At 37.2% G+C, this 15,090-nt stretch overlaps 1 protein-coding gene across 1 annotated transcript in view; it reads left to right on the top strand.

Moving 5' to 3' along the window:
• The window catches only part of ME1 (malic enzyme 1), a 220,650-nt gene that overhangs the window by 202,274 nt on the left and 3,286 nt on the right, over positions 1–15,090 (top strand). Inside the window, exons 11-13 of the mRNA NM_002395.6 lie at positions 1,301–1,443; positions 4,845–5,018; positions 12,182–12,280. Of these exons, the coding sequence (NP_002386.1) occupies positions 1,301–1,443; positions 4,845–5,018; positions 12,182–12,280 (416 nt within the window). The remainder of the gene's footprint in view (positions 1–1,300; positions 1,444–4,844; positions 5,019–12,181; positions 12,281–15,090) is intronic.

Genomic DNA, 15,090 nt, shown 5'->3' with positions numbered 1-15,090 from the left:
ATTGTTTTTTTTACTACCAATTTTTGAGGTATAATTTAGCCTTTTTGAATTCAAAAAACTACACGTTCGCTCAAGCGACAGTACCCTGTAGAGACCTAGATTTTTAACTTTAGTCCTGTCGTCTTTCTCTTACTGATCTGAGATGAAGCGTATGGCCCCCTCCTCTAACTCAGCCTGTTAATACCTGGCACGTTCAGCACTTTTCTAGGCTTGATTACTCCAGATAGACAGTGGTTCTCAAATAAGAGGGATTTTTGCCCTGCAGGAAACATTTGGCAATGTCTGGAAGCTTTGAGTTGTCTTAACTAGGGTAGCGGGGTTGGAAGGGAGTAAAGGGAGGGGCTACTGACATCTAGCAGATAGAGGCAGCGGAATGATTCTACTAAATATCCTGTAGTGCACTGGACAGCCCCTGCGACAAGGAATTATCCAGCCTAAAATGTCAATAGTGCTGAGGTTGAGAAATACTGCAGTAGATAAGACCCTCCTGGAAGACAGGGATCACATCTCACAAATCTTTATTTTCCTTATAGCACTTAATACAGTACTTACACAATGCATGTGCAGTGCAAGACTTTAAAGTGGTTTTAGAAAACTCAAAGGAATTTATGAAACTTTATTCTTTATTTTGTGCATATATAATTTTGATTTTTACCTTGTATTATACTCCATTCCTACAAGCTCTTGTGAAACAGATGACAACGTTGAAAATAATGATGATAACTACAATAAAAGAAGTACTTACTCCATGACAGGAACTTTACTAAGTGTTTAATATTGTTTTTACAAAATATATTCTGTCAATAATCTTATTGTTTTTCATTTCCATTATGCTAATTGCTTTATTCTTCTGTTAAAGTTACTTCAGTGGGTGGTACTTTACTTTTGCAGATGAATCAGATGGTTGTCTTAAGTGATAGCGTTGGTTTATAAAACTTAATTGCTTTGTAGCCTGACAAGACTGAAATATACTCATAGAATTGCTTATAAAGAAAGTTTACACATTAGATACAAATTTCCAAGTGATTGGTAACTAACTCAATGTACTATGGAAGCCAAATATTATCTTTAGTTTTTAATAGATATTTGTAGATTTGTGACCCTAAGGATTGTAAGGATTGTTGGCATTAACAAACTTGCCTCTTTTTGTCACTATACTTGAATACAAATAGTTTATATAGCATTTTGTTTAGGGTCTATTAGAAAATGAGCTGATAGATATCATTGATTTGAGGCATGGTCTTCTTGTGTGAATTAACCAATGATAGTGTTAATTACCAGCTTCATATTTCTTCATTAGGAGTTGCTGCAATTGGTGGTGCATTCTCAGAACAAATTCTCAAAGATATGGCTGCCTTCAATGAACGGCCTATTATTTTTGCTTTGAGTAATCCAACTAGCAAAGCAGAATGTTCTGCAGAGCAGTGCTACAAAATAACCAAGGTAAAGTAAAACTATAACAGATATTTTAATAATCAAATTTTTATTCATTATAGGGAGGCCTAGGATATCTAAGGTGCTTACTGTTTAAGTTTAAAAATTATACAACCAAAATGGAAAGAAAAGCACACAAATCAGAGGGATAAGAACTATTTCCTTTTCTAGAATGTTGTATAAATCCTCTTCTTCAACAAAATAAAATACATATTTTAATGTTTTACTGATAATTTTCCACAAGTGATTTGGAAATAGATATCTAAGATTTAAACATAAAAGTTAAATAGAAAGGAAGCAGCTTGGTTCTAGAGGCTTATTAAAATAGCTTTTAACTAGCTATTCCCAAACACTGAAGCATACAATGTAAAACCACAACCTTATTTTTGCTTTGCTAAATCCTGGGTTTGGGTTTTGGTACTATGGGTGGAACATTTGGGCAACTATCTTGACATCCAGCCAGACTGGGATAGGAGTCCTCAATGCTTCAACATTTTACTATGATTTATTTTATACCATGTTTGTACTAATATGTATTTGGCTGATATGCTGAAAGGAGCCTTTTTTCCCTTCAAAGACTTTAAAATATCATTACAACAAAATAGAGGTTGAGTCATATCTATCTAAAATGTTTATTTTGGAAAGAAATCCAAAATGAACTAGAGAGGTAAACATGAACGCTATGTCACTCTGCATTAACTGGAACTTAATGGCTCTATTTTAATCATATATCCTTAAATGCTCAATACTAGAATTAGTGATTTTTCTTTTTGGCAAGGAGCCACTCCATTGTTTATCTCTCTTATTTGGGATGGCATCAGTGTTCTCACTGATTTTAATTTTTATCTCATCTCTAGATTGGGGAATTTGCCTCACATTATTCAGTAGTCCTTAAATCCTTAAAGGAAAAAAAAGTCCTTTCAGCAACAACCAAGTCTTAGCATCATGCCTTGCACCTACTAGGCATATAATAAACAAGTGTTTAATTAATTATTTTGTCTTAATATATCTCAACAGGCCTCAAGGGTTAAGAGACTTATCTATAACACACATAAACAAAATTAGCCAAATTTATGTAGTTGTATTTTAAACTTTGAATGTGTCTGATATAAATGTATGCCTCAACTCTTTCTTATCATCTTGCCTAATGTTCTATGTTTTTCTACATAAAACATTGAAAGTTATTTTGAGGATGAAAATTTAGACACTGGTTTGGCTAAAGGATTGGAGAAAAAGGAAAGGTCTGCCTGTTGCTGGATGTGAGTTTCTGCTACTGTAGGCACAGGTGAAGATAGGAAAGGTTAAGTTACAATATACAGAAAGACTATTGAACCATAAAAATATAATCTAAAAATGGTATGGGAAGGTTCCCTTCACCATGTTAATAACATATATATATGAGAATATTTAGCTAGCTACAGTACTGTCATTTATTTAATGACATTTCTCCTTAAAATATGGTGATTATAGAAAGGCAGGAAGAGTGGGAGTGCAGGAGTGGGGGAGATATATATATATATATATATATATATATAATGTTACAGGCCTCTTTCTCAAATATAATTTTCCAAAACCTTTATATATGAAGTAATAATTTAGTTACATTAGAAAGTTGTTTATAACAAAATGTTTTATCTGCTAAAGAGCTTAAGGTATCAGACTTGTCTGAAAACAAAACCGAATTCTGTGCAAAACATAACAGTGTCTTATAAACAGCTAGATGAGAATTTGTTTTTCTGCCTCATCTATTTTCATCTTTTTGTCTCTCAAAGAAGGTTGAATTTCTGTTATACAACTTTAAGAACAACTAAAAGGTATATTATGACATTTGCTAAAAATAGGTTAATATTAATATCATTATTTAGACTCTAGATCCAAGAGATATGAAAGTTAAAACCCATTCTGTCATCGTTTAAACTATGCCTTGGGGATTTGATGCTTTAGACTTTTCAAATAGATTTCTTAGACTGTGATGCTTTATTTGTTTAGGGTTTCTGATTCCTACTTTGAAGCCTAAATACTCTCAACTAGATGTCCACTCTCACCATCACAGACAAATGTTCTTTTGATTAGCAATATGAAATGCAGCACCTAACAGGCCCTAGTTAATGCCTTTTTTTTTTTTTTTTTTTTTTTTTGAGATGGAGTCTCGCTCTGTCACCCAGGCTGGAGTGCAATGAATGGCACGATCTCGGCTCACTGCAACCTCCGCCTCCCAGTTTCAAGCAGTTCTCCTGCCTCAGCTTCCTGAGTAGCTGGGATTACAGGTGCCCACCACCACACCCAGCTAATTTTTGTATTTTTAGTAGAGATGGGCTTTCACCATGTTGGCCAGGCTGGTCTCCAACTCCTGACCTCAAGTCATCCACCCTCCTCGACCTCCCAAAGTGCTGGGATTACAGGCGTGAGCCACCGCGCCCAGCCAAGTTCATGCCTTTTTAAAGCAAGCAGTACATGAGATTCCTCAAAACAATTATGACAAAATATTAATACTAGGCAAAATGAAGACAATTGTTGAAAAATATTGATAACTTAATCTTCTTCTTCCTTGCCAATTCTACTCCTGCCAATGAGTTTGTTTCCTATGTGATTCTCCACATAACTATTTTATTTTATTTTATTTATTTATTATTATTATTATTTTTATTTTTTTTTTTTTTGAGCTGGAATCTTGCTTTGTCGCCCAGGCTGGAGTGCAGTGGTGTGATCTAGGCTCACTGCAACCTCTGCCTCCTGAGTTCAAGCGATTCTCCTGCCTCAGCCTCTCAAGTAGCTGGGCTTACAGGCACCCACCACCACTCCCCAGCCACTTTTTATATTTTTAGTAGAAATGGGGTTTCACCATGTTGGCCAGGCTGGTCTCAAACTCCTGACTTCAAGTGATCTGCCCCACTCGGCCTCCCAAAGTGCTGGGATTGCAGGCATGAGCCACTGTGCCTAGCCCACATAACTCTTTACAATATAGAAATATATATGATTTTCCCAGTTTTTATTTTGGAAATGTGTCGATTCCTAAACCCCAACCTAAAATATCATTATTTTCAATACTTAAATATTAGCCCATCATTTTTTATCTTCAGATGTCTATAATTGGAAGCCTATATAGAAATGGTTGATGAGCCTATCGGTTGAACCACTGCAGAGAATAGAGTGATGGTCTTAGGGCATCCTGTACTTTGCATGCTCCTCCTGGAAGTAAAGAGTAAGACAGAGAATAGTAATAATCACCCATTCCAGAACTGGTTGCACAACATCACAAAAGCTTGTCCAGACTTATTAGCAAGTTAATAAAAAACTAGACTTCTTTCTAAGTACTTATAATTTAGGCTGTGGGGTAGTTCTGTTATGATACATTTGTTTTAAAATATTCTGCTTCTTTTTAAAGTGAGTTGTATGTGTCTTTGTTGTAGGGACGTGCAATTTTTGCCAGTGGCAGTCCTTTTGATCCAGTCACTCTTCCAAATGGACAGACCCTATATCCTGGCCAAGGCAACAATTCCTATGTGTTCCCTGGAGTTGCTCTTGGTGTTGTGGCGTGTGGATTGAGGCAGATCACAGATAATATTTTCCTCACTACTGCTGAGGTATTGTAAAATCCTCTAAGTTTACCAAGGGTTTAAAATACCAAGTGTGCTCAGCCTAGGTTGTCTAATGTTTTATTTATCTAGCATCTCAGCTTACTCTCTGAAAGAAGTAAAGTCTGAAGAACTTCCCAGTGGAGTATAAGGGGTGGGTAGCATGTTCATACTGACTCACAAACGAAAGGTTCTTCTTCAGTAGTCATTAGAAAAATTGTGTTTTTGATTTCTTAAGAGGAACATTTTTGTGTCTTCACACATCAGATCAAGTTCTGTGACAGTGATGGGACAATTAAAAATATTGTTTCCAGGGCTGGGTGTGGTGGCTCATGCCCCTAATCCCAGCACTTTGGGAGGCTGAGGCAGGCAGATCACTTGAGCCCAGGAGTTCGAGGCCAGCTTGGCCAACATGGTGAAACTTCATCTCTACTAAAAATACAAACATTAGCCGGGCATGGTGGTGTGTGCCTGTGATCCCCCCTGACTCAAGAGGCTGAGGCAGGAGAATTGCTTGAATCCAGGAGGCAGAGGTTGCAGTGAGCTGCGATTGCACTACTGCACTGCATCCTGGGCTACAGAGCTAGATTGTTACCTAAAAAAAAGCAAAAACAAAATTGTTTCCAAATGATGATTAAGTGGTAAATATTTCCCTGTTGAGAACAGTGCTTAATAATGAATGGCATTTTGAAGGTTTAAAGTGAAAGTCTGATATGGTATAGTGGACATGTTTATTATTCAGGGTTCAGTACAGGAGACAGAAACCACCCTAGTATTTAAGCAGAAATTAGATCAAAATAGGAAATTAGTTGTTTATAAAATCATTAAAAGAATAGGAGAAGTGAGCTCTGTCTGGGCCTTGAGGAAAGATTCTCAGAACATCACAAAGCAGGCCCACTGGGGAATCTTGTACTGTCATGAAACTGTGAAAGATCTGAGATTTTACTCTACTTGCAAGCTAACAAGTTAGCCACAATTTCATAGATATTGACAGAAGACATGAAACTCTTAGGTCAGAGACAAAGGACTTTGATAATTCCTGGCACAAGAGATATCATGAGCTGCATGTTCCTATCAGTTTCCCTCCTCCTCCCAAGCCTCAGCAGGATGATACGGTGATTGGGCATATATTTATAAAATCATGAGCTTTTTGATAATCATCAGGTTGATGTTCATCAGGTTGATATCATGTTTCAGATTTGAACAGGTAACCATTTATGGATGAGAAACTTGAGTGAATTTCTTTTCTTACGATTAAACCTTTGCAGCTGAACTGATCCAAAGAACTTGATTGATATTCAAATATTTTTATCCTGCAAATATTTTTTCCATTGTGAAGAGGAACCCCAAGAATGTAGACAAAGATTCTTATGTTACTGATGTGATCTAAAGGAGCATAATCTTGGTGGCTAGCACCCGGTGTCATTCTATGAGAACAGATGCTTGGAAGCAATAATGTTCTCCTGTCGTTTTCTTCACTGCATTAAAAAGCATGCCAGCTGATGTCACAGGTTTTCTTTAACTCAGAAAATCTTGTTAAACATAAATGGATGTCTAATTACTAAGAGAGCATGTAAAAGTAGCTTTTGCATTAAGGAAAATGTAATCATTGTCTTTTAGAATAGGCACATCAGAGTTTTGGTTACCTGCAGTAGTCAGTGTTTTCTTTCTTAAATAACTCTAGCACCCTCTAGTGACAAATTCCGTGAAAAATATTTTCAGTTTACTCTCCAAGAAAAGTAATAATCACTACCAAAAAACACTTTGAAGGAAAAAAAAAATGTGGTGTTGTCAACATACCACATCACTAATTCTTATCATAGCTAGTGATCTCTCTGGCTGCATCTCTTGGCCTTTCTACTGGTTTTCTCTTAGGCTTCAACACAATATTCCTGTTTTTTATATCATCTAAATTATGTCCCACTCATTATTTTCCTTGTCTCCTTTTCATCTCCCTTTTAAGTAAGAGTTTTTTTTCTAGCATTCATTTTTTGTTACCAGTTTTTTCTTCTCTTTTTCTTATGCTTTCAAAGATCTCATTCATTCATTCATTTCTATTATCTTCATTCTAGTAGTGGCCAAATCTGTGTATCTCTATTCTCATCTTTTTCCATATCTCCAGTTGCCTGTTGGGTAATTCCACAGACATGCCCTACTGTGTCCTTAAACACAACATTATGAAAGCCTTCCTTATCTTTCCTCACTGTCAGCATTCACATTTTTATTAGTGATACCCCCTTTCCAAGCAGGCAGCAAAGCTTAGAAGCTTGACATTCTTTTCATTCTCCCTCATCCCATAGCCTTCAAACACACCATGCATATGTATGCCTGTGTAACTGCTTTATCTCTTATCCTGTCTGGAAAGACCTGAGAATTATTCTCCAATGATCTAAGCTTCTCCTTTAGGGTACTGCTTAAATACCACCACATCCTGGAATCTTTTTGTGACAAGTCTAGCTCATCTTGATCTTTCTCCGTAGCCATGACTGTCTTTATTACACACTTTGACATTTAATTTTATTTCTGGTTATGATACACTCCTGAGAGCTTCCTATTGTAAAAGATTAGGTGTTGCCTTTATAACTAAATTGTAGATTATCTTTTTTTTTTGAGACGGAGTCTCGCTCTGTTGCCAAGCTGGAGTGTAGTGGTGTGATCTTGGCCCACTGCAACCTCCAACTCCCTGGTTCAAGCAATACTCCTGCCTCAGCCTCCCAAGTATCTGGGATTACAGGCACAATGCCAATACGCCCAGCTAATTTTTGTATTTTTAGTAGAGACGGGGTTTCACCATGTTGGCCAGACTGGTCTCGATCTCTTGACCTTGTGATCAGCCTGACTCGGCCTCCCAAAGTGCTGGGATTATAGGCATGAGCCACCGCGCCTGGCCTGTAGATTATCTTTTTTAAAGACAGAGAGTCTTCCATATACTTCTTTTAAAACTTCAGTAGTATCTAGCACCATGCTAGGCACAAAGCAGAAAATTAGTAAATACTTTTTGAATAGGATTAAATAGAATGAGTCATGTATCTTAGCAAGAGGAATAAATACAATACCACAAACGTTCACTACCAGATGGCCCCAAAAAGAAGAAAAGTACTTCTTGTCTAGATTATATTTTGTAGTTAACAAAAGTAACATATAGGAGATATTTCTGAATATTTTGTTTTGCAACCACAAATTTAATAACTGTTAGGATTATTGTCAAAATACTAGTTGAATCTCTTATGGAACTAGAAATGTCATGGGTTAGCACCAATCTCAAAGAATATTTCTGGACATTTTTATATCATGAAGAGATTTTTGGCTTTCCTGGCACTATAGACAGTCTTCTGGACCTCTGGTGATCAGCCCTCCTGGCCCTGTGTGGTCTGTAGTGTATCCTGGGAATAGACTCCTCACATCCTGTTCACACCTGGGAGACAAATCTCAGCCTCCTATCTTCACACCACTTCTCCTGAATCACAGGCTGGTGTCTTCTCATCTGCCTTGCTCCACTCCTTTCTGATATCTGCTCAGAGGACCCTTTAGATAATCATCATGGACAGTCACACATGGAGAGTAAGGATTCAGAATGATTCTTCTTTACTCAGCTATCCTGTGACTGTCTCCAATCTCTTTAAAATGACATTTGTGTGACATCCTAGAGAAGAAACAATGAAATTGAATGCCAGCAGTGTCCTGGTGTTTATAGGTGGAATACACATATTATGTCATATAAATAGTTGAAAAAACTTGAAGTTGATTCGTTATAGAACTTGCCCCCAAATCAAATAGCTAACAATCTATACACTGTAGAGCCAGATCTGACACCAGAAGCTATTTTGCTTCCATTTGGCCATGTGGGCTGCCTATTGGTTCTTTTTTAAAACAAAATAGCTGGCCAGATGCAGTGGCTCACGTCTGTAATCCCAACACTTTGGAAAGCTGAGGTAGGTGGATCGCTTGAGCTCAGGAGTTTGAGACCAGCCTGGCCAACATGGTGAAACCCTATCTCTGCTAAAAATACAAAAAAAAAAAAAAAAAAATTAGTTGGGCATGATGGCACACAGCTGTTGTCTCAGCTACTCGGGAGTCTGAGGCGGCAGAATCACCCAAGCTAAGGGAGATTGCCTACACTCCAGCGTAGGCAATCTGAGTGAGACCCTGTTTCACATACATACATACATACATACATAAAACAAAATAGCTAAGTTTAATTGAATACTTTTCTGACAGACACTGTCTGTGGTAAATTGTTTGCTGGCATTTATTTCATTCAATCCTTATGAATTAGGAAGTATTATTAGTCCTGTATTACTGATGAGAAAACTGAGGTCTAAAAAGGTTAATTAATTTGCCCAAATACAAAACAGACAGTAATTGATGGAATTAGAATTCAAACATAGGTCTACCTCACACCAGAGCCTGAGCCTTCAACCACCATGCTCTGACATCTTTTTAACATTGTGCTATTCATTTTGTTCTATCCAATTAAATACCAATACCTGACACCCAGAAAAGTTTTTGCTTTAACATCTAAGAAATTATTATTTAAATCTGCCACATCTCCTTTGCAGAACAACAAGAATTAATAAAGTTTTTTAAAAGTTTCAATTCAGTGGAGCAATTAACATAAAATGGTTTTATTTTGCCCCAGTCATTGTTTTAAATCATTCTCCACCAGCTCTCCCTCTTGTTTCTCTTAGTGCCATTTCGGTAAGAGCCCATAACTTTCAGTTCACTCATTCTTTTAATATTCTTTTAATTAAATACCTAACATATGCTAGGCATTATTCTGAGTGCTGAGAATACATCAGTGAACAACAATTAAACATCTGTGCAGTTCAAAATGTTATATCCAATTCAAATGTCATGTCCTCTCCCTGCAGTAGGAGAGGCCTGCAGTAGCAGTTAGAGAAAACCCATCTGTTCTTTTACTCTTTCTCTGAAGCTAGCACTTTGAGGAATTTGGGGGGAAATGTTTGGCTCGACTCTGAGAAACCTCCTCCCTCTTTTTGTTAAAGACTACTTCTTCAAATACGTTGGAGAAAAGAAGGAAGGGCATGGAAAAGGGCAAACATCTCTTTTATTAACTCGATTATTAACTCCACTAATTCTCTCTGGCAGGGTCCAAATCTGGCCCTCTGATGTAGGATGTCTGGCTTCAGCCTAGCTTCCTTACACTTCTTCAGGTCCCCAGGGATGCAGAGGCCTCCTCTGCTATGGCCGCTTGACCTTGGAAACTCATGTACCCATACCAGATCCACTGATGGGAATGTATACAGCTTACAGCCACCCTGTCTGTCTGGCTCTCCCTTTCCCATTCTCTTCTCTGCTTAAGTACACATACCTATAACTGCTCACGCTGAGGAGGGGAAAAGAATGCCCCCCAGTCTTTCCTTGAGGACACCATAAGCCTTTAAGAAGGAGTAGCATGCACCAAGAAGAGGGGAGGAAAAAGCCACTACATTACCCAGTAGGCCAAACCATGGTTCCAGCAAATTTCCCTGCCTCTCACTAGCTCAGCCTTCTGGAAGGGGGTGGCTGTGGTTTGTGGGGTTGGCAGGGCTGATTCTACTTTCTGAGGTAGATGGCAAGCCCCACTTGTTTGGTGACTTCCTGATAGTGTGGAATAGTTAACGTATCTTTGTCCTGAAGTTTGGGACCCTGATGACCAATTCTAGGGCAAACATCCTGTTACAAAGGCAAGAAATTAATGAGTTAAATGATGAGTTTATTATAAAATTATGGTCAACACCCTACAATTATATGTTATAATATTTTGTATAATATGTAGAGCAATACTAATCAAACAAATAGTTATACTAGTAACTTTACCTCCTTCTCCTTTCCATCTTACCTCTGCCTAAATGTCCCTGGTCAGAAGTCCTTAGTCACCGACGGGATTTAACTCCAAACTCCTTTTTTGACATTGATAATGCTCCAGTCCTTATTTCTGTACCCAGACCCTCTGCTCCCCCAGGTCAGGACACTTGGGCCTGCTGAGTCCAGCTCACACACAACTCTGCCTTTGGTCTGACTCTGTTTTTTGTCTGAAATGCCTACCTACTTTCTGTTTGTCTAACTCCAGGCTTTCCTGTAGGTTTGCCTTTCAAGCCACTGTGCACTATAAGGCCTTCCAGAACTGCTCTTCCTCTGGATTTCTTAGCACCCACATTTCACCATTAGCCTAAGCCGTCTTCTCTTTCAGCGTTCTCTTTTTCTTCCCGTACTCTGTTACCTTACTAAATTATACATCTCTCAAGGACAATAACACTTTTCTTAAGCTTCTCCGTAGTGTTATGCTTGTTCAGTGCATATATGTTTGCTGATGGCAAAGAATAATATTTTGGAAATAATTTCATGATTTAAAAATCTAAAAGATATTAAGATATACTGAAAAATAAGTATTTGATTATTTAAAATGTTACAAAAGAGGAAGGTTTCCTACTCCCTCTCTGCATCCACATTTTCATGGAACAAAGGCCTAGGTATAAGCTGATTTAGATTTGCCCCCATCTAGAAATTTAATCAAAGTCTTAGAGCTGGAGAGAACATCAGGGTTACTGAGTCTCCCTCTCTGCCTTAGGGTTCAATACAAAATTTAACACTGTTTGATTTGGAACTAGGGAATGGTTTGGGGACAGTAAATGTTGAGGCTAATTAGGTGATTTAGATAATCCAGAGTCTGTGTAAAATTAAAATCCTATTTGTAGTGAGACTCTGAACTAGCTTTCTCAGCCTTTTGCTCTACCTCCTGCACAAGAATATGACTCAGAGCTGGGAGTAATGGCATGCTTAGCCTTGGATAGCTGTCCTCCTCTGCTTTCAGGATCCATTTTCATTACTCTATCATCTTCCTCTTTCTTTCTTTTCTTTTCCCTTGTTCCCCTAATGTATCAATTGGAAAGTATCTAGCATTTCATGGTACAATAGAAAAGGAAGTGGACTAAAAGGAAACCTAGATTCTATTCCCATCTTTTTCACCAATTATGTGATCTCAACCACCACCACACCACTCTGGGCTTATTTCTTTGTTGATAGAAGTGGGGATGAAATTAGGTAATCATATTAATGTCACTGGTTTTTGTATAGACCATTATATGTAACCGTTCACTTAGTTATTGGCGTACCCACCACATTGTATCGTGTGAAGTATAAACACTTTTTTTCTTTCTTTTTTTCATAAGGTTATAGCTCAGCAAGTGTCAGATAAACACTTGGAAGAGGGTCGGCTTTATCCTCCTTTGAATACCATTAGAGATGTTTCTCTGAAAATTGCAGAAAAGGTAAAACCACTCTTGTTCAAGCTTCATTATTTTTCCTTCCTTTTCTTGCTAAATATGCATTTTTAAATATTAAAAATCTGCTTCCTTGAAATGTATATCTGTATCAACTTACTATGTCAGAAGTCAGAGAAATGAGGCACACTGACACTGTAGAGCTTAGGAGCTACATTTGCTTCTCAGAGAAGAATGGAAGTATTGGGCCGAATAATTAATTTCCCTCTCTATCGTTCTTTTTTTCTCCTAAAATTTAAATAATTCATTAGGGCTTCCTGTCAGCCAGATTTCTCCCATTTCACCTTTTTAAAGTTGTTCTTTTCTATATCACATTAGTGATAATTAACCAAAATATTACAGATATGTTAGAGTAACATTTAGACCTTGAACCACCTTCCATATCCATGTCACTATGATGTGTGGCATCATAAATGACAGATCACAACTGATAATACTGGGCGGAAGGCAAAATAAAGAGGTCAAAGAACTTGAAAGCTGTTTGGGTGGCAGATGAGCTACTGAAGGAGTTAGCCAAGAAGAACCCAAAGGCAGAGAAATTTTCTGTAACTAAACTGGAAGATAAGTGGACTTTTTTTGCAGTGTAATTGTATTAGTTTTCTTGGGCTGGGATAACTACATACCACGGTTATGTAGTAACTGTTTTTAAATATTCAAGCCACAGACTGTGTGGCTTAAACAACAGAAAACTATTTTCCCATAATTCTGGGAGCTAGAAGTCTAAGATAAAGATGTTTGCAGGTTTGGTTTCCTCTGAGGCCTCTCTCCTTGGCTGGCAGATGGCTGCCCTCTTTCTGTGTCCCCATATGGCCTTTTCTCTGTGTGTGTACACGCTTGTGTGTCCAAATTTCCTCTTCTCTTAAGGACACCTATCAAATTGGATTATAGACCATTCTAACCGTCTCATTTTAACTTAATTATCTCCTTAAAGGCCTATTTCTAAATACACTCACATTCTGAGGTACTAGTGGTTAGGGCTTCAACACTGAATTTGGGGTGGGAGGAACACAGTTTAGCCATGACAGTAGTTATATGTTTAAATTGGGGTTTCTCTACTTCAGCGTTGTGGACATTTTGGGTCAATAACCATCATGCGGCTGTCCCAGGCATTGTACAATCTTCAGCAGCATTCCTGGCCTCTGCCCACTAGATGTCAGTAGCATCTGCTCAGTTGTATCAACCAAAGCTGTTTCCAGACATTGTCAAGTATCCCCTTGGGGGCCAAATTGCTCCAGATTGAAAATCACTAGCTTAAGCTATTAGCAAGTTATCTAAACAACACCATTTAAGAGTCACATATCATTATTTATCTCGTTGACTGAAGGCAGTCTCTTAAAAAAAGAAGTAATTCTCTAAAAACCTTTACATAATAATCTGCTTGGTTATCTATGAAAAAGTATGTTCATATATTCTACTAATATGTATCTGCTAGTTTTTAAGTAGTTTAAACTATTAATATACTGAATAGCATATTATCATTTTAAGTTCATTTTGGAGATTTAAATGAAAAAGAGTTAGCTTATGATTAGAGGGGAAAAAAAGCAGGGGACAGCAGGGGAGTGCCAAAAGATTCAGATATCACACCTAGAATAATGGAAGAATACAGAGTGCATACACAGAAATTGAGAAACTAGAACAAAGAACCAACTTCAGAGAGGGAGATCATGTAAGTGGACTGCAAGTTTGAGGTATCAATGGCACATTCAAATGTACCATTTTATCAAGTAGATAGAAATGACTGAAACTTAAAGAGAGGCTAGATAAAAGACCTGGGCATCTTCTGCATGTGGTAACTGGTGAATATCTAGGAGTGGGTGAGGTTGCCAAGAAAGCAAGTATAGAAAGGAAATAAAAATGAGAATAGAATATAGTTTATTATTCTGTCTAGAAGACAGAAGAAAGATGCCAGTTAAGAAGAGAAGTGGTCAGGATTTTAAGAGACTCCAAACTGAGCAGCATGTCAATAATTAGGAAAGAGACAATTTCAGAATGGGAGTGGAAATTGTGACCAACACAGCCAAATCCTGGAGAGAAAAACAGATGCAGACTTTTATTTGGTACTTAACAAGTTATCAGAGACTTTTACAAAAGAAATTTCAAGATGTACAGGAGGTTCAGAAGGCAGAGAATTAGGAAAGCAATAAAATATAAGCCACTCTGTCAGAGAGTTTGGCATTGACAGGACAGAGAGAGTGAAGATTTCATTGGGAGAAGGGATTATTTCTATGGTATAACTGGGAGCAGAAAGAGGAGATGAATTTCCACATAGTCTATGTCAGTAATGAAACAATGTGTTTTATTATAAAATTAACATAGCCATCTTAAGTAGGCATGAGGGATCTTTTTGGGGTGATGGAAATATTCTAAAACTGAATGTGGTAATATTGTTGCACAGCTCAGTAAATTTACAAAAATAATTTAGTTGTACACTTAAAATGCTTGAATTTTGTGTGAATTATATCTCAATAAATCTGTTTAAAAAGTAATACTACCATATTATGGGCACTTTGGAAAACAAATAGAGAAAAGGAAAATAACCAATATCCTATTTTTCTAATATAAGTATTATTTTTTTTCCTGTGTTTGTTTTGAGTCTTTCGTTTGTTTATTTTCTAACATTATTATAATTATGAAATATACATATTGTTTCCTGCTTTTTCATAGACATTTCATAATACAGCACAGTATTCATAACCTTAATTGTTCATAAATGCATAGTTTTACATTGAGATGAGATAATCATTCTGATATTCTTTGAAATCAGACTTATCAAAATAAGTCAGTCATATAAATATTGT

The sequence above is a fragment of the Homo sapiens genome, chromosome 6 (genome assembly GCF_000001405.40).
Source record: "Homo sapiens chromosome 6, GRCh38.p14 Primary Assembly".
Lineage (NCBI taxonomy): Eukaryota > Metazoa > Chordata > Mammalia > Primates > Hominidae > Homo > Homo sapiens.
Note: the sequence above shows the minus strand (reverse complement) of the source record. Positions and strands in the feature narration are given on the sequence as shown.